General features: G+C 38.9%; 1 protein-coding gene across 17 annotated transcripts in view, besides 1 other annotated feature; it reads right to left on the bottom strand.

Annotated features, from left to right (window-relative positions):
* Positions 1–20,985, bottom strand: part of AUTS2 (activator of transcription and developmental regulator AUTS2) — a 1,195,032-nt gene that overhangs the window by 1,055,213 nt on the left and 118,834 nt on the right. The gene's annotated exons all lie outside the window — the stretch shown is intronic.
* Positions 5,737–6,031: a silencer, noted in NCBI's record as "tiled region #8911; K562 Repressive non-DNase unmatched - State 24:Quies". NCBI's record gives its function as "represses a minimal TATA promoter and a strong SV40 promoter by Sharpr-MPRA in K562 cells {active_cell/tissue: K562}" and the evidence as "EXISTENCE:reporter gene assay evidence [ECO:0000049][PMID:27701403]".

Here is a 20,985-nt window from a genome sequence, read left to right as displayed (position 1 = left end):
CCCCCTCCCATGTACCTATAGAAGAGAGAGAAGGGGATGAAAAAGGAGAGAAGGAAAAAAAAAATGGATCCAAGGATATGGCTTAGATTTACAGATAAAGAACCTGATGGCCCACCTCCCCAAATGACCCCCTTGCATTGAACTTTACTCCACCCCAAATCTGTAGTTCTCTCCCTTCCAAAGGCACAGTTTCTGACTCCTGGCTTAGCAGTCAGTGAAGATGATCAGAATTCCCCTTCTCTGCAAAGAACCTCAGCAAAAAAAAAAATAATAATTAGCGTTTCCATAAACACAGTATTTTGAGATTGGTGAGGGATCTGTGGATCCCCAAACTCTGTGCAAGTCAAAATGAATTTGCTGGTAGACAGCCAATGTTTCCGATTTGATTTGGCAGAATATACCCAGTTAGGATGTTCTCTCAATGCAATTAGCAATGCACTGTCAATGAGCAGTTTAGCTATTGACAATACCTGTTGCAATTTAATTTTAAATGTCAATGACTTGTTTGGGTTCACTGTAACAAGGCTTTTATGCATGACAAATAAGCATCCTAGAACAACAGGATGGATGAGCAAAACAAGAGGGTGAAGAAAATCAATAGACACTGTATAAGGGGCTGTCTTTCAAACATCCCCCTGTGGCTATGACTGCCATGAACAAGGCAGGCTGCTCCTCCCAGGAGCAGACTGGGGACTTAGGGAGTGTGTTACTGTCATCTACTTTTGCAACTGATGCCCACTGTTCCTAATGGGATATGGGAATGAGGAGCAGACCAGGTTCTGGAGATAACCCGGACTAGGCAAAAATGCTAGCCCAAGCAGGGACTTGCTTCTGAGGACACCACAGTGACTCTGCCCGACTTTTACTAGCTAGGTGGCCTTGAGCAAGTTATCTAACCTCTCTTTGCCTCAATTTCTTCCTCATCTATACAATTAGGATAATTGTAAAGAATATATAAACAAACATATTACAAGCACTTAGCACAGTACTTGGTACATTAATAGCATTTGATAAATGTTAGCCTCTTGTTATTATTCAATTGAGTTAAATGGTTGATATTACTCAAAAAAGAAACAAAAAAAACAATCTATACACTCGCACAACATAGAAGGATGTCACCAATTCAAGCATCTACAGTGCAGGACTTTGAGTAAAGTTGACTCCCATGGAAAAACTGAGAGGGGTAGAGTCTACAGCAAAATGGAAAATCTGTACCCCTTTCCTAGAGCACTCCTGCTCTCAATAACAAATGAAGCCAGGCATGCAGCATGGCCTGACACTGCCAGGTGTTCTGATTTTCCCGGAATAACCCTAAATCTGGATTTTTTTAAATGTGAAATGTCCTGGACTTTAAATGTTGAAAAGTACCTCCAAAATTTTTAAAACAACAAATATGCCAAATGAACCAAACCTGTGCCTGGACCAGGTTTATTAAAGACTATATTTCTGAGAAGTCTCTCGTCCAGGGTAACCCTTAAGAACTCCCTAGGGAAAAAAAAGTCACCAAAAGTCTTTACTCATTTCCCATATAGGTGAAGCCTTACCAGAGAATAACACCACAGAAGGGTCTGCAGAGAATCTGGAGTGTCCTCTAAATCACAGGACAAGAAGCTGCAGCAGGTGCTTCCATGCTGACTTACAGCCTGCTTACTGAGAGGGTAAGTGGATGATTTATGAGTTGCAAAGGTGATGCAAAATGCTAATCAGCTTTAAGCTGACACTGGATAACACAAGCAAATTTATATCTTCTCTAAAATAATTCAAATGCTTTTCATGAGGAATAGCAGGCAAGGATAAAGATGAAGTGATAACACTTCAGAGACTTCACAAAATATCCCAATTAATCTAGGCCATAAACCTACAACAGATCCTCACTTCTGAGCACAGGAGCACATCCCGGCTGAAAATCACAGGAAATACCCAAGTCAAAGCAAATCAGCCAATAGGTTTCCCAATTCAGATGCCTAGGGAATTTCACTGTGTTTCTGAGATGACTTTGGTTTACCACAATATCCTTAGCGTCTTTATTCCTCTTTGCCAAGTATAGATTGAGAAGGAGGTGGTGTGAGGCATGAAGGAAGGATGGGGCATGGATCACGAGACAGACTGGGGGTTAAATGAGAAGTCTCCAGGATGACAGAAAAAAGAGAAAAAAAGGTTCACAAAGTACCACTTTAAACAATTTTCACTTTTTTCAACAAATGCATGTATTCAACAAATATTCACTGAGTGCCCACTAATGTCAGGTGCTAGTCTACGTACTGGAAATCCAGCACTATAGGAAACAAAGTCCCTGCAGACACAAAGCTTATATCCTTGGGCCATCCATACTGAGACCTAAGAATTAATCTTGGAAGCAGAGATCACAGACTTTTTATGTTAGAAAGGACTTTTAAATCTCATTCAGCACTGAATGTGAGATACAAATGTCCTCCACAGCTTTCATTGACAGACATTTCACTAAGCTCTGCCCTCTGTGCTAGTCCCCTGCACTGGCTGTCTACAGCAGCAAATCAGATAAGGGCCAGCCCTTACGGAGCTCACAAGACTCCTTGTCAGGGGGCTGTGCGGCCACCTCCACTGAACAGAACTCACCATACTCTAGTTGTGTTTGTGGCCACTTCTATGGAGCCCAAGGCTTCTGGCTAAGGGTACTGCTTGCTAGCTCTGGGGAGAAAAGGGGCTTAATCTGTTTGTGCCCCTCAGCCAGCTTCCACCTAAGTAGCCCCATTCTTTTTATTAACTGATAGTCTAAAAACAGGTGTCTTTGGGAGAAAATAATAGTTTCATGGGTTAAATAATTAGAAGGTAAAAAGTAGTATCTCTCAAAGGATGTTGGTCCCTTCTGTTAAACCTGTTCTCTTTATGTTCAGCCCCCACAGCATCCATTCATCAGTCCCCGGTCTGCTCTGCAGGGCCACCAGAATTATGGTTCCTCCTTCATAGGATAACTCTGCAACTGTCTGAAAACAGTACAAGGGTTATCATCTCCTTTCATAACCAGGTCTGATACCCCAGTTTCATCACTCACAATGGTGCCTCCTCAGGTGCTTTCTCATTCTTTTGCCATTACCAATCCAAAAACTATGTAATAAAGTGTTTTAGGAGTAGTATTATCCTACATAAAGGTTTATGAAAAAACGCTCTGTTTAAGACATCTCACATAATCAGACTGGGTAAGAGACTTGACATAGAAGAGGCAAGTATATCCTACAAATTATATACAGAATCCTGGAGCTTCTGGAGGATGCAATAGAGTTGTCTGAATATCAAATGTGCTTGATCGTTAAGAGTCAGATTCCTGCAACCTATTCCAGAACTACTGAATTAAAATCTCCAGAAAATGTCTGAAATTTGTTTTTTAATACATGTCCCATATGGTTTACATTGAGAATGGGGCAGGGGGTGGATGGGAAGGAATTAATATGTCAGACACAAACTCTCAACTGAGAAGACCTCAAATTATATAAAAACCTTTTCAGAGCTTTTATAATCTCACTGACCATCTGTAGCACAGAAATGAATCCTGGCATTAGTGGTACTAAGTGGTTACACATCAGTACTCTGGAGACAAGAAAAGGAAAAGAAAGTTTTACCTTGCATTTGAAAAAGTCAGTTAAGAACCTACCATTATGGGGAAAAAAAAAACCCAACAAGCAAATGCTAAAACATTACAGGCATATACATATATATATTTCAAAATATCCAGCTTGGTAGCAACCTAATGTGTAAAGCCCAGACTTCTGCAGCCATAGTATGAATCCAATAGGTTTCATACTATCTATCTAGCCCTTCCTCATCCCCCTCAATCCCAGTGATCCAAACTCCACTGAGAAAATGAAATTTCATCTATTTACTTTGAAGCAGATTTTTAAAAAATACAAGTCCCCAAGCACCAGAAAAGAAAGACTTCTTTACCTAAGACATTAAAAAAAAAAAAAAAAACTAAAGAGGAACAAAGAGTTATTATTGGCACTTGAATCTACAGCATCAGAAAAATGGCAGCCCTTCAATCTCCACACGTGGAAGAGCTCTTCGTTTTAAGCTGAAAATGGGAAATTAATTTTCAAGTCTCTTGTCTAGGAGACAGCTTTTAAAAAGGTATTAACCTACATTTGGAGATTAATGCAAACACAGCCATCTTGTTTTAGTGGGTACAATCCAACTTTTATTAAGACAAAGACGGATTCAGAGTAATTAAGAGCTTGTCCAATATCCAGAATTTTATGACTCTAAATATTAGCGAAGCTGGCATTCTTACCAGCTTTGCCTCAGAGCTATTGCATTATAAATCCTCGGTGGTAATGAAACACCAGCTAAAAAGAGGTTGAATAAGTCTCATTTAAAAAACAGCCTTCCCGTGGAGAACTACGCTGACTTTAACATAATGTATAGCCACTCTTAGAACATTAATACTATGAGAAAAAGGTGAGTGGCTTGGGATTTGCTATTAAAAAACCTCAAAGAAGATAAGGAAGTGTGTTTTAACAATGTTGAATGTTGGGAGACTCCTTGGCACCAAAATCTCAGAACATCTTGCAGGGATTTGGGTAGAAAAGGAACAGTACCCCCACACTAAGGATGCTAGTGGTGGCTTACATGCGAGGCACATCCTTAACACTACATACTGTTTATACAATGTAGTAGCATCACAGGCATTGTAAAAAATAAAATTTAAAAAACTTTGAAAGTTAGCATCTCATTTTTAAACCATCTCAATGGGGTGCTCTCTTCTGCTACTTAAATGATGCCAACGTATGCCCTTGAACACTCCCTTCTCAGAGGAGGATTTCACCAGGGTCACCACCTGCAAACCTATCTCTACCAATGGTCTGAGGGGGCACTCATGGAATATGTCCAAAATATTGACAATTGGTCATCACTTTTTCAGACTTCATGTAATCGAAGACTCTGAGACACTAAGTTCTAATGCAAATTTATCCTGTACTTAAAGGGCCACCAAAGAGTTAATCACATAGTGACTATATACATAGTTTAAAAACAGTTCCCTCTCTGCTCTTGCATCAAATTTGCCCCCCACTGACTAAACAGGTGAATACCAAAGGTTCCTGGGTCCCAGCCACTGACAGTGATTATCTAAAAGAAGCCTGTCATCTCTATCCCCTCAGGAGAGAAATGACACATCACCTATGCACCTCACCTGAGCCGTAGCCAATTATCCATATCCCCAAAGCATAAATAAGACTTAATGGAACGGACTAGATGAAAACACACCATGCACCACATGATTAGCAAAAAGCAAGCTGCTAAACAGAGTGGGCTCTGTTCTTCTCAAAAGACACCCTTAAGTAGAAATTAAACACCAATCTATGTTCAAGGAAATGACAATCTTTACCTTTTTCTGTCCACTAGGCACTCTACTCTCCTATGAGAAACAATACCCTCTTCCTAAAAGCACAAACCTTGCAGAATAAAAGCTGTGCCAGGAAGAAGAAATTTAAATTGAGACATCATGCCTTCTTTGACTATTCAAAGATAGTGTCAGAATATAATAAATTGTCTCTTAAGGAATTAACAAAGGTACCATTTTCTAAAATGAACAAAGGGATTTTTTTATTAAATGCTTTTGCTTTTATTCCCCATAACATGACTTTATTTTTTACTCAAGAGAGAAACAGATACCTCATATTTGGGCCTTATTTACTGAAATTAACCATAGCCAACACTTTGCACTATCATTTATGAAATCAAATTGGGGGAAAATAAAAACGAAGAAATACCAGGACACATAAATACACCTGTGGGCTAAGAGAAAAAGAAATTCCATGGGAAACAATGCTGACTCAGCCAAGAGTCCACAGAGCCAGCACTCCATTGTTTGCTTAGTGGCTGACACACCTCACGCACACTCCTCCAGACTGACCACAGAGATCACACACCCCCAAATCCATATTTTATGTAGATTAAGTTTACTTCCTCATGTAGGGTTAAATCATTGAACCTGCTCTGAGCACCTATGTGTAACTACACCCCATCCCCCACCTTTACAACAGCAAGCAGCAAATGTTTTATACTATAAATAATGAATACCAAAGGGGAGGGAGGGAGACAGCAGCAGTAAGTACTTTAAAGGCAAGGTACCAAAGTATTAATTAGCCTGGCACAGCACCCAGCATGACAACTAGCCCCCAAAGACTGAATTTCATTGTTTAACAAAGGTATTGTGACACTAAAGTTAAGACTTGGCTCTATAGCCTTCCTAACAACCTCCAACCTTACAGCATCTACTGTGATACTAGGCTAGTGAGGCATGGCGGAAAAAAAAAACAAAAAACAAAAAACTATTTGTAATTTTCTATACAAAGTGCTTCCTAATGCATTATTTAACGTAATCTTCACAAGAAACTTGTTACCCATTTTACAGATGAGGAAAGGACAGCTTTGGCAAGCCAGAGATTGACTTGCCTACGATTACGCACATAATAAATAGGAATGTCTCCTGACTCTGTTCCAGTGACAACCCAGATGAATAAGACAAAAGACATAACCTTTGTGTTCACGCAGTTTTAGAATTCAGATACAAAGACACTGGCATGAAGATACGTGACAAATGCCAACTGAGTATACACAAGCTGTACAGGTCCCAAAAAGGGAACAACCTCTTGAAGCCATGAATAAAAAGCCTATGGAACATTTAAAAACCCATTCTGTATAAAACACTCAGTTCACAAATAAGAAACAGCATGTGAAAGGGCTCTGTAGGTCATAAATGTTATACAAATGTTACTTGTTAATAAAAGTAATAACAGCTACTACTTACTTAGCATTTGCTATGGGTCAGGCACCATGCTCAATATTTCACATACATTTTCTTAATTAAACCACTCATCAATATTATCCCCATTTTACAGTGGAGGAAACTGAGTTTAGAGAGCTAAAATTACTCACCCCAAATCACTTAAGTGGCACTTGTTTAATTAAGTTAAACAAGTCTCTCTGTCAAAGCCCACGTTTTTTGTTTATTTGTTTTGTTTTGTTTTTGAGACAGGGTTGGGCTATGTCTTCCAGGCTAGAGTGCAGTGTCATGATCATGGCTCACTGCAGCCTCGACCTCCCAGGCTCAAGCGATCCTTCTACCTCAGTTCCCCAGATAGCTAGAACTTAAGGTGCATACCACCACACCTGGCTAATTTTTGTATTTTTTATACAGACAGGGTTTCGGCATGTTGCCCAGGCTGGTCTCAAACGGGTTCAAGTGATCCTCCCACCTTGGCCTCCCAAAGTGCCAGGATTACAGGCATGAGCAACTATGCCCAGCCCAAAGCCCATGTTTTTTAACCACTATCTATATTGCCAGTGTTTATTTTTCTAGTAATCATTACTATTAAGTAGTCCCCAAAGTCTTCACCAAGTACTCAGATCTGACTTTGAAACAGTGTATTTCTGATGGACATCCTCAACTCTCAGTTTCTTTGTATAATCAGACCCTTAATGTCTGCAGGTAATAGCATGGTGGTTCATTTTGGAAAACACCAAAGATCCCATGTGGTCTCTAGCTATTGAGAAAAATCCAAGAAATGATGGTGCACACATATTAACAATCAAAGGTTACAGCTATTTGGTATTTTAAACACTTTCAACTGAAGTTCTTAACAGTGCTTAAGAGAAGGCTTAAGTGCATTAAAAAAATTCTCTGTACATTTGTTATTCTCATCCCAGCTTTATAGATGAGCAAACACTGACTTGTAGACATTACAGGAAGCTGAGATTGGAGTACTGGCTGTTTCTATTCCTCTCCCAAGATATGAATAACACGAGCTCCTGATTTAGCCCACCTTTCCTCATAGCACAGCAGGTAAGGAGAGGGCATATGTATCGACAGAAACTCAGATGGATTTTAAAAATTGCTTTTAATTAAACCACAGGAAATATTGGGGGGCAGGTGGGGACAGAATTGATGTTAGATCTCAGAAGGGATGACAAGTTTGTTCATCTTAAGGCAACAGAAGAAAATATAAAAAACTTCATAAACTGCTTTGTAATGAAAAACTAAAATAAAAAAGAACAAACTTGGAAAAGGTACGACAAATATTACAAAGGGTTACATATTGCCAGGCACAATGGCACTAAAATAAAAAAAGAAAAAACTTGGAAAAAATACTCATGACAAATATCACAAAGAGTTACATATTGCCAAGTGCAGTGGCACACACCTGGACTCCCAGCTACACAGGCGGCTGAGGTGGGAGTATCACTTTGAGCCTAGGAGTTCGAGACCAAACCAGACAACTTACTTAGGAAGACCTAGTTTCTAAAAAAAAAAAAAAAAAAAAAAAAATTAAAACAACAACAACAAAAAAAAACATACCAGTTAAGAAAAAAATTTGAACCCATAACCCATTAAAAGACAAACATAAATGTGGCTCAAATTTGTGCACAAAAATAAAGGGGAAGAACAACTTTTTAAATAATACAGTTATGAAAGAAATCCAGTAGCTTTTTATCCCTAGAAATGTAAATAATGATCATTCTTAAGGTAAATACACCCTATATCACTGAGGATCATATACAGTGTAAACTGTACACAGATAAGGAAAAAACAAAATGCACCTTGTGACTATTCTACACAGAGGATGTACTGAAGAAATTAAGAGGGATTCTATGCACAAATAAGTTCTTTGAGGTTTAACAGCACAAAATAGAAAACTTACAACAGAAGAATATAAAGTATGGCACAATTTGAGGTACTATTATGCTGCCATTAAATTACTATCATGATATAGCAATGTAAGAAATGGCTTTTTTAATGTTAAGCAAAATACAAAAGTATTCCGATATAATCACACCACCAAAAAGTGATGTTCACGTGACATATAAATCGTAGAAATAAAAGTATAAAAATGGGGGGGGGGGTGTTGGGGGACATTTAAAACTCTTAATCCCATAATAGATTAGAGACTTCTTAAAGATAAGTTTTCTCTCACTACAAAAAAAAAATGCTATTAAAAGAATGTGTGTGTGCATGCGAGTATGTGTTAAATACAATCATAAGTTGAGAAAGAAAAGCAACTCTCCTCTCATACTCTGCCTACCTTCTTCCTCTGCCTTGAAAGAGCATACATATGTATGTATTATATATGTATATATATCCTATAAATGAGTTTAAAGTTGCTAGTATCAAAGCTCTTTCTTGTCTAAAATGCTTCAACCCTTCACACACAAAAAAAATAAGGTTTGGAATTGGACATGGTATATTTCAATTCTATTAGGAATAAGAAAATAGTACAACCAACATGTGACACACACAAAATTATAAATGTATCATAGATACTTGCTTTCTGTGTGCACTGTAAAATCTAGCTCACTAAAGGATTTTCCATGCTGTTTCTACTAGGAAAACACTAAAAAATCCAATGTTCGTTTGAATTTTTTAACATCCCATAGCAGGTAGACACTGGCTATTTTCTAGAAAGGATTTTCCATAACACTGAGCAGAAAGCTGAGATTAAAGCTCTGCTATCTTTGACTGAAATTAATTCTCTACAGCTGTTTAGGGAACGTGTATTTCAGAAAGAGGGACTCAGCTGACTAGTTCCAACCTCTCTTTTCAAAGAGGAAAATGTGTGTTTAAATTAAAAAAAAAAAAAAAAAAGCCACAAGCAAGCAACCTACCAGCCTGCATACTTTGAGTGCTCCCAAAGAACATATTACTTGAGCGTAACTTTTTGTCCCGTTTTTCTTTAAAGCCTTTTGGGAAAACATCACTTCTGACTGAACTACCTACCCTTGGGAAGAATGGATGACTCAATGTTTGTCTAAAGACATTACATTAAAAAGACAGAAAAAACTCAAAAAGCAAAAAACCCACACAGGCACTTCTAGAATGTGCCTACCCTGTTCATCACTATGCAGATTTCACAAGCATTTCCCTAATCCAGGGGAAAGCTATTCTTTAAAATAGTACATTTACACGCTCTACTAAGAGTATTCCCTAGATTTCAAGTTGGTGGTTTGTTGGCTGCACTGCAGCAGGTTTAGGGTGGGAATACCCTGAATAATCAGGAATAGGAGCCACACAAGGCAGCGCCTCAGCAATGGGGCTCCATGTGCCCCAGGGAGAGGGAACTCTACTACCTTGACCACAGGGCTTCTCACTCCTGCTCCTTCTCTTCCTCATTCAGCTCTCCTGGTTCCATAAACATCAACAATTTCTTTCGTGTAGGGGCCCACATCAGCTCCTATGCATACATTCCACTGGAATGGCTTCCATCCCAGCAATCCATGACAGTATCTTCTTTAGTGTACCACACTAAAATCCCATTAGTACATAGGTTCTCAATTTTGGCTGCACTCAGAAGAATCTAGGGAATGAACGAGATTCTGTTCATTTCTAAATGATTCTGATTTAACTGGGATGAAGTATGGTCTGGGTATCAAGGGATTTTGTAAGGTAAAGTACCCTAGCTACCTTTCTTTTTAAGAACTGGACAATTTGATTCTAAACCTTATATAAAAAAGAAAAGGGCCTACAATAGTAAAAACAACCTTGAAAAGAAAACAAAGTGGGAGGATTCACACTACTGCATTTCAAGACTTACTATAAAGCTAGATAAACAAGACAGTGTGATACTGGGATGACAGACAAATAAATCAGTGAAGCAGAACACAGAGTCCAGAAATAGACCTAAACAGAAATAGACATAAACAAGCAACTGATTTTTTATTTTTTTTATTTTTATTTTTGAGGTGGAGTCTCACTCTGTCTCCCAGGCTGGAGTGCAGTGGCGCGATCTCAGCTCACTGCAACCTCCGCCTCCCAGGTTCAAGCTATTCTCCTGCCTCGGCCTCCCATGTAGCTGGGATTACAGGTGCCCACCACCATACCTGGCTACTTTTTGTATTTTTAGTAGAGACGGGGTTTCACCATATTGGCCAGGCTGGTCTTGAACTCCTGACCTCGTGATCCACCCGCCTCATCCCCCCAAAGTGCTGGGATTACAGGTGTGAGCTACTGCACCTGGCCCTCAAGCAACTGATTTTCAACGGAGGTGCCAGGGACATTCAATGGAGAAAGTAAGGTCTTTCAACAAATAGTGCTGGAACGACTAGATAAACATATGGAGAAAATGAACCTCTACCCTTACCTCATATCACACTCAAAAATTTGTGATGGAACATACACCAAAAGATAAATAAAGCTTCTAGAAGAAAACAAAGATGAATATTTCTATAACCTAGGGTAAGAAAAGATTTCTTAGTGAGGATACAAAAGACACAAAATATATAATGGAAAAATAAGATAAACTATACTTCATCAAAATTAAAAAATTCTGCTTATCCAAAGATGTCATTAGGAACTAAAAAGGCAAGTAACAGACTGAAAGAAGTACTCACATTATGTATATCTGGCAAGGGACTTGTATCCAAAGTATATAAAGAGCCCTATAAATCAATAACATAAAGATAACCAAATTGAAAATGGTCAAAAAAAACTTGACCACACACTTCACAAAAGAAAACAGTGCTCAACATCATAAATCATCAGAGAAATGTAAATTAAAACCATACTGAAATACCATATTATGCCCATTAGAATGGCTAGAATTAAAAAGACTTATCATACCAAATGTTTGACAGTATGGAACAACAAGAACTCTCATACAATGCAGGAGGGAATGTAAAATGGTACAACCACTTTGGAAAACTGTTTGGCAGTTTCTTATAAAGTTAAACATACACTGACATACCTATAACAAAATTCCACAATTAGGCACTTACGTTAAAAAAAAATCATGACCTATGTCTGCCAAAAAAAAAAAAAACTTGTACAAGACTGATCATTACAGCTTTATTCATAATAGCCAAAAATCTGAAACAATTTAAATGTCTACCAACAGGAAAATGATTAAACAAATTGTGGTATATCTGTACAACAGGGTACTATTCAGCAATTAAAAAAAACTGACATGTAACAATATAGAACAATCTCAAAAACATTATGTTAACAGAAGAAGGCAAACACAATAGAGCACATACTTGTATAATTCCATTCACATGAAATTCAAGAACAGGCAAAACTAAACTATGTTAACACGAATCAGAACAGTGGTTACATATGGGAGGGGTGGGCAGGAATTGATTCAAACCGGAAACTAAAAAACTTTTTCAGGTTCTGACTATGGTCTATAACTTGATGGGTAAGTGTGCTACATGGGTATGTATATTTGCCAAAATTCATTGATGTGTACACTTAAGATCTGTGCATTTCACTGCATGTAAACAATATCCTAAAAAAAAGATCCCCAGGTAATTCTAATTTGTAACAAAGTTGAGAGGCACTGCATTAGAGGGGAAAAAAAATAATCTAACTTTTCTACCCTTCCCTCCTGCATCACAATGATTTCTTGTGCAAGCCAAGATTGTAATTGTTCATATCCAATATTTTCACACAACACCCTACATATATTGCTGCCCAAATCCTGCAGGTACATTAACTGGATACTCATGAACTGATTGTATCCTGGAACTTGTACATCACAGTACACATCTATTTCAGGAGATGCTGAAATATGGGACAGCTAGGAACTATTCTCAGTGCAATTTACCAGCATACCTTCCCCTCAAGTCTGACCAGACAGCCTTCATAAGAGCCTACACTCTGACCCTCATTTCCCATAGCCCCTTAAGACAAACCCAGTTCTCCAGCCTCATTGCACTTATTACCTTCAGGACCCCAAAAGGAGCAAACCATTTCCATGTCCACATGTCTTGGTCCATACTAGTCTTTCTGTCTGGAATGTCAACCCTGCCTTTTTTTGCATACTCCTTCCTGTCATTCAAAACATCATCATCATGTCACTTCCTTCATGAAGATTCCTCTAATCTCTCTCTATGCCACAAATGGACCCTCTTCTGTGTACCTAATGTGTATCTCTAACACATATAGACTATGTGGTAGGCAACCTGCTAGAAAAAATGGCATGCCCATCACATTCTTACAGCCATCTATTTGCATGCTCATATGTTTACTTTTTGATTCAAGTGGGCTCCATAAGGACAGGGGTCCACCTCTTATTTATCATGGTAAGTCCTGGCATACAGTAAGTGTTTGATATACTCCTGCTAATTTTTCAAATAAATTAATACCAATACTCTCCCTCCTTTCCCCTAAAGCAAAGTCAACTATAATAGAGAACAAAACCAGGCCAGAGGATGGGGTGACTATATGTGAGTGTATTCATATGTTTTAAGTCTGCAGTTAGAATTTACTTGGTACTGAGAACTCTCAAACCTAATAAATTCTTCTCTATGAAGGACTGAAGATTAAAAACTTCGGTTCTTATATCTTTAAAAAAATCCTACCTTTGATGACTTTTTTCTAATACCATTTCTATTATATAATGTTATAAAGGTCTACAGCAACTGCTAGACACTTAATCAAAGTAATGATACAAATCAATAATCCAGAACCAATTCCCTCTCTGGACATGGATCCCCAAAAAGTTGTTCCTCTACAACCAATTAAGGGTCCTTTATCTGGTTATTCCACATTTTTCACGCCCATATTCAGCTGACAATCACAATCTAAGTCCTAGACCATAATTTGAAATTTTCTGCAAAAGGGGGGACAATGATCACTAAGAGAGTTTGTGGTTATTAATATTTATCCCTAAGCAGTAACATTCGATCAAATCTTTTTCATTCAGCTCAGCAAAACAAACCAGAAAGTTAACCAATTCTGTAACCTTGAATCCTGATGCTACAGTAATTTTGCTTTCTGTGCCGTTAAAAGTGCAGTGTTTTCATTTCTCTGGAAAAGTGCTGATCCAGAGAGCACAAGACAACAGCAGTACTGTGGATATCATTTGTAGGGAAAAAAGGAAATATGAGAGATTAAAGAGACAACTCCCTAAAAAGTCCAATGATGAAATGTCTCATGGTCTTTTGAACAAGAACTTCTTTGAAATAACAAAAAACAAAATTAAAGACTCACACAGGCCAAGGTCTATAGCAGGTTGCTCTCCTTTCCTCACATAGTTATTAAAAGCTAATGAAATCGTTAAAAAGAATCTAGAAAAGAAAGAGTCAAGAAATCATTTAATCATTTTACAGACAAAGAAACAGAGTTAGAAAGAAAATGTGACTCGCCCCATGGGGATGTGACATACAATATGTTGGTGACAGGGCAAAGGTCACACCCGAGGTAGTCTGACTCTCTCCCAGTTCGGTGATTTTTTTCCCCCCACATTAACACATTTCCTTGGCTTATACTCAGAAATACCATGGAGACCCCCTCCTGCTTGCTAGAATCAACACAATCCACACTGCTTCTGTAGTTTATTCCTGGGTCCCACTCATCTATCACCTTCCACTGTGCTGCAGATGTCTGTCCTCTCTCCAGGTGATTCCCAGACATTCCTGGCTGCTTGGCTTGACTTTCTGTTGCAGCCTGAGGAGGCAGACTAAGACTACTCATCCATTTCACTAAACTACCGTTAGAGTGTAATGAGTTGTTTCTTACATGATGCCAGTGGACTGGGGTGTGAAGCTCAATAGTCCACCCAATGAATCATTTCTAGCACTCTGCCACCAAGTCACTTTCTGACTTCTACTAGTTAAACATAGCAGGCAGAAAAGTTGACCAGTGGTTCTTGCAAGGTCTTAGAAATGCCAGTGGCTATGAGAAAATCAGGAATAAAACAGCTAACAGTCAGAGAATCCATAATACCAGTCCTTAGTCTAAGTGATTTACATGTATTTACTCATTCATTCCTCTGGACCACTCTGTGGGAAGATACAGTATCTTCCTGTAATTATCATCATCTAACAAATGAGAAAACTGGCTAATGGTCATATAGCTAATAATGGTGAAGCTTGAATTGGGACCTAGGCATTCAAACTCCAGTAACTTAATATTAACCATTAAGCTAGTCTGTTCTTTGCTTGAGTTAAACCCTGCAAAATGGATCTATTTCAAAGCAATCCTTATAAAACATACATTTCTTTCCTCCTTCTCAAAAAGAGGAAAGAATTCCAATATGTAAGGTTGCTCAAACTTCCTAAAAAGGTCTCCGAGAATCACATGGCCTATATAACACTCTATATATACACAAGACCACGATTCTGCTACTCCAAATGATCAAGGCTAAAGTGGGAGAGTCCTACACTGGCTGCTGTGAATGATGAAGGCAGTAAGAACGGGGATAAAGTGTCAGACAGTCCTTTGGATCAGGGACTGCTATGACCTGCAGGTTAATATGCAGCTGCACGTACAACATGACTCAATCCTCCCTCTTGCTTCTGAACAGTTCTATGGTAGCGCTCACCAACTGCTGAAATGGGATGTGTTTTGACATGTAGAAAACAAGCAGCAAAAAGCTTTAAAACTGCAGGCCATCTCCTGGAAATGATCATGTTTTCCTCTGGAAATGGGTGTGAGTAGCTCAGATGCTTTGGTGTTACCATATTCCAAGAAAAAAAAAAAAGCAATTCCAGATCTACTTCTATTAAAGCAAAGGACTCCTGATATTACCCAATATTTCAAATGAAAGTATGTTTATAATTTCCCAAGCAGCATACTTTGTTCTGCACATCAACGATGAAAGGATATCAACAAAGTCTATCTCCATGAAAGGACAAATGAAACACAGTTAAATGAAATGCACAAGGCCACATAGCTGCTTAACCTGTAAGGTATGGCCAGGCACAGTGGTGCACACCTGTAATCCCAGCACTTTGCGGGGACAAGGCAGGCGGATCACTCGAGCCCAGGAGTTCAAGACCAGCCTGGGCAACATAGCAAATTTCCAGCTCTTAAAAAACAAAAATAAAAAAATTAGCTGGGTGTGGTAGCGTTTGAGCCCAGAAGGCGGAGGTTGCAGTGAGCTCACATGGCTCCACTACACTCCAGCCTGGGTGACAAAGCGAGACTTGGTCTCAAAAAAAAAAAAAAAATGTAGAATAAGAATACCTCCATTTGCCAAGGCATTTTCCAATTTTTCTATTCTAAGAATGGAAATAGCCTTCTCCTTCCCTTTGTATCCCAATGACACAGCTTAACTACTATTGTGAGAAAAAAAGGAACAGTTCCAAGAACTACTAGTCTTCTAATAGCCACCACCTATACACAATATATTGCTATACATCCATAAACAGAATTGCTTTTTATTTTTTTTTTTTTTGCCCTTCATTGTGAGGATCCCAAACTTTCTCATGCATTTCAAGGCTGGGAAAGTCACATCCTGCTTTGCTCTCTATCCCCTCTATAATCTTCCCTCTTCCAATCCATCCTTAAGCACTCTCTTTTGGATATTGCTACTTCCCTGCTTCCCAAAAGACAAGGTCCAAACGCCTATCAATAACTTTACCAATCAGATCTCAACATATGTTTCACATGTCCTCCCCAACCCTACCTCTCAGGCCCCTTTGTCATGCTTTCCCATGTACCTGTGCTCTAGCAGCCAAATCAAAATCACTCAATGACATCCAAACACAAAACTCATTTCTACATCTCTCCAACTTCACTCACCCTGCTTTGATAGCCTAGAAGATCATTCCTTGTCTCCACCACAGAACAAAACTCCTCTTTATCATTCAAGATCCAGTTCTGTGATGACCATCTCTAGCTTATTTCTCAAAGCTCACAGCACTCTGTGCTCAGGCTGTTATACTTACTATAACTATGTAATACATTGCATAACACAGGACAAGGACTGAGTCCTGTATTCTTCATTCTCAGCTCTTCTCACTGTGATAGGCAAGAGATACCCTAAAAATCCATTCCACAAATTTTTATATAAATTAGGTACTGGGAATACACTGATGGGCAAAAGAAACTGAAGCTGAACTCTCAAAGAACTTACTTCTAGCAGAGAAAATTGGGGAAACATTAAACAACCATGTGTGAGGTGATAATGAGTGCTATGAAGAAAAGCGGAATAAGGGAAGAGTGTCTGCCTCCTTCAGACAGAATGGTCACTAAAGGTCTCTCTGATAAGGGAGCTTCTAGCAGCAACCTGAATCAAGTGAAGGAGGGAGGCTTGAGGGTAAGAGCATTCTAGGCACAGTGAAAAGTAAACGTGACAGCCTTCAGTAGAGAATGCATTGCTGCTGCAGTACTTGAGCAGATCAGGAGGCAAAGATCAGAGAGAGATTGTGGGAGGCAAAACTGCATGGAGCATCATAAGCAACACCCTGCTCAAACCTGGATGAACAAAAACTGACCCTGGTCATTCTTCATCTCCTTCATTAATGTTCCTTGCTGCTGACCAGCATAACAATTGGATGGTGCTCTCTTGCTAACTGAAAACTCTGCCCACTACTCCAGTCTCTTCTTCTTTTTGCTGCTGTGTAAGTCTTTTCTTAGCTTCTCAATCTTCTACCGCTTTCTCAAGATGAACTCCATTCCACCTTCTTTGGCTTTCTTCAGAATAAAACCTAGTAAACGCTGTTGTCCTGTTTCCTCTATCCTCAAAATATTTCGTAGTGATTTCTACTGCAGTTCCCAAGAGATCCTAGTAAATCTCCCTGAAATACGTTGGGCAGCCTTCTCCTTTTCCCGTAATAACAGCAGAAGCTGTCTGACTTCTTAGGCAGAATTTCCTCCCTAAAAAGCAATATACTGACTTATAAAATCTTACCCAATTTTTCCTCTGTTACTCTAAAGCTTAACTGTTATGTGCCCCTACAATTATTTCATTTCAAAGAAAAATACCTTTGGTTTAAACAAATCTAATATGTGGACTTATGAATTTACTTAAAAGATAAATTGGGCATGACTGTGGTTATAAAAGGATTTTTTACATTAGAAAATGATTCATAATAGCATTACTAGAAATGGCAAGCTCTCCTATTTCATCCTAAATTTAGGAGCCAATTCTCACACAAATCTTTGAGAACACATCATTAGGTCAGGTGAAGTACACCTGTACAATGAGATCTTCTTTCCAAGAGCCAGGCTGGGACTCCCATCATAGAATCTTGAGAATATTATATTTAACCACCACCAATTTGAAAGCCTATAACCCTCAAGGGTTGATTTATATTCATTCTATTATGAAAGGCTATAATTCCTAAAATGTAGACCAAAACTCAAAACACCAGAAAGTTTTGTTAACAACTCTACCAAACCAACCAGTCTCCTGTTCTCTGCTGGCTGAGATTCCAGACATAATTGTTCAGGTAGCCAACCCATCAGCTTTCCATTTTCTTACACACATTACCATGCCAAATTACTTACACTCTTCTCTGCCATTTCTTACAAAACTCTTCTTGGACTACTTCTATGCTCACACTGTCTCATCATCAATTTGCATGTCAGTTCCTTTTAATTGGATTCCATCCAACCAGAATTACAGCTGCCTCTCTCTATGAAAGAATAAAGTGATTTTTTTTTCCTTCAACAATGCCAGGGTCCCTACCAGGGAATCAAACTGTCACTCCACTTGCTATTAATTATCCTGTGCTATGCCACTGTTTCCCTTCCTTCATAAAGCCCTGAACCATATTCCTTCCCCCTATGATTAACAGCAGTCATGATGATGCCTTACATCCAATGAACCAACACAAGAGGGAAATTCAGGCATCAGGCATAGATGACAAGCAATGACAAGAATACTTTAAGCAAAACATTTAACTAAAAGCAACGTCTCTTACACAAAATATACGAATTCTGAGCTTGAAGACTTGTCTTACACTAAGGCAAAAGATCCCTCAACTTCCCATAGCAGGCAGTCCATTGCATGATCCACAAGGTTAAGACAGGTTTCCTGACACCAAATCCATAAGGTTAAGACAGGTTTCCTGCTAATTAAATCTCCTTAGCCACAATATGAGCCTGTGATTTCTTGTTTCCATGGTAAATGTAAAGACCTTACCAGCTTTTTCTGTATGACAATTCCCCCCAGCATTTAAAGCCTCCTATTAAATCTTCCTTCAGCCTCCCCTTCTTCATGTTGTATCATACTCAGGAGAAGGAACAGGATGGAGAGAAGTCTCAAGACAGTTTTATGTGAGACCCAGTTGAAGAAATTGAGATTTTTAAGTCTGATACTTGGGGGATATGAGAACTGTCTTTAAAAAAAATCTCAAGGGCTTCAAGTGTGAAAGAAGAAATTAGATTTATTCAATATGACCCCAGAGAGTAAAACAAGAACCAATAGGTTCTACAAACCCACAAAGAGAAATATTTTCCCCTAAATTAAAGCAGGAACTATCTAACAAAAACAGAACTGTTCAAAGAGGTTTATTTGCCAAGGCAGGCCATTTCATGTAAGCAAAGGTGGGACAGCCATTTTGAAGAGATGTAACAATGTGTGTGCAAAACCCCTGCGGGCGGGCTGGCTAAGAGGATCTCTAGCTTCCTTGAACACTGGGATTGTACAAAACTAAGTGGCTGGGGTTTTGTCACAATGAAGAAGAGTGAGGCTTTAAGCAGTGATAAACCACCCACCACTCGCACAAGACACATTCATAGGTAACAATTTATTTTGCAAAGAATTAATAGAGGGCACTATACAATTTCATTTGAGTGGGGAAAGAGCAAAGTTTGGGGAAAGTCCACCCTACTGTAACAGGTAGAAATAATGGCTCCCCAAAGATGTCCATGTCCATTTAATTCCTGGAACCTGTGAATATGTTACTACACATAGCAAAGGGGAATTAAGGTTGGAGATGGAATTAAGGATGCTAACCAGCAGATCTTAAAATAAGGGGATTATCCTGGATTGTCAGGGTGGGCCCAATGTAATCAAGGGTTCTTAAAAGTGGAAGAGGAAGATGTAACTATGGAAAAGAGAAACAAAGAGATGGCATTTTAAGAAGGGCTCAATCTGCTGTTGCTGGCTTTGAAGATGAAGGGAAGAGCCATACACCTAGGAGTTCAGGGAAGCCTCTAGATGCTGGAAAAAGATGAGGTCATAGAATTTGTCCCAGAGCCTCCACGAGGAACACAGCCCCCTGACACCTCGATTTTAGCCCAATGAGATCCATGTTGGACTTCTAGCCTACAAAAATGTAAGATAAAAGTTTGTGTTGTTTTTAAGTCACTATGTTTGTGGTAATTTATTATTGCAGCAAATAGGAAACTAACATATCCACCACAATTTCTGATATGCTCAAACATTCTCTAAGAAAATGTCTAATATTTGCTAAATAGCTTAAAATAATAATCTGTAATATGTTTCATCAATGATAATCTTTGTATTATAGGAAAAGTAAGGATTAGTGGAAGACAGGGTTTCTATCCAAACCAACAACATAAACGGCAATATAATTGTTAAAATTAGCCTTTATATGCCATATGTTATGCCTGGTACATAGTAGACTCCCAATAAATCTTTGGTGGCTTGAATTGAAGAGGTAAAGTTCAGATGAAATCTTTGGCCTCCTTTGCTGGCCGGGACAGTAAGATTCTCATGCTAAGCAATAAATGGTCTTATCTCTTAATAATCCCATCCAATGAGTAAAACGGTGGATGAACTCTAACTGCCCTCTGTATAGCTTCTGTATTTAACAAAAACAAGGACACTGCATATATTGGGGGTGTAGGGATGCATGAGAGAAACAGAGGAAGAGCCTTTCCAATCATTTGTTTTCCCCCTTCAATAAGGAAACACTCCAGAAAATTACACTCCAGAAAATCTACCTCCACCCCCTTCACAAAGCACAAATGTCATTTCTATAGGAATAGTTTCCCAAACAATAGAAACCCTGAAGCAGGATACTTCAAAAAAAATTTTTTTTCCTTTCATTCTGCACCCTTCATTCTGGTCTCCATACTCTACACAGCACACAGTGCTGTTCAACTTTTCTGTCCTCATTTCCCCTAAGAGTTATGGTCAGCTGTGGCTCTGTGCCTGCACAGATTAGAACGGCTGAAATGCTATAAAGTTTCCACACAGGGCCACAAACACAAAGGCCATCAGGCCAACTCTCACACTCTCTAATGCCCACACCCAGAGAGCTAGTGGCAAATGCCACCAGGAATGCTTTGTCAGCCAGAGCCAGCAGCTGCTCCATAACCTC

Source organism: Homo sapiens, chromosome 7 (genome assembly GCF_000001405.40).
Source record: "Homo sapiens chromosome 7, GRCh38.p14 Primary Assembly".
Classification (NCBI taxonomy): Eukaryota; Metazoa; Chordata; class Mammalia; order Primates; family Hominidae; genus Homo; species Homo sapiens.
The sequence above is the reverse complement of the archived record's forward strand: the minus strand, read 5'-3'. Positions and strand labels throughout refer to the sequence as shown.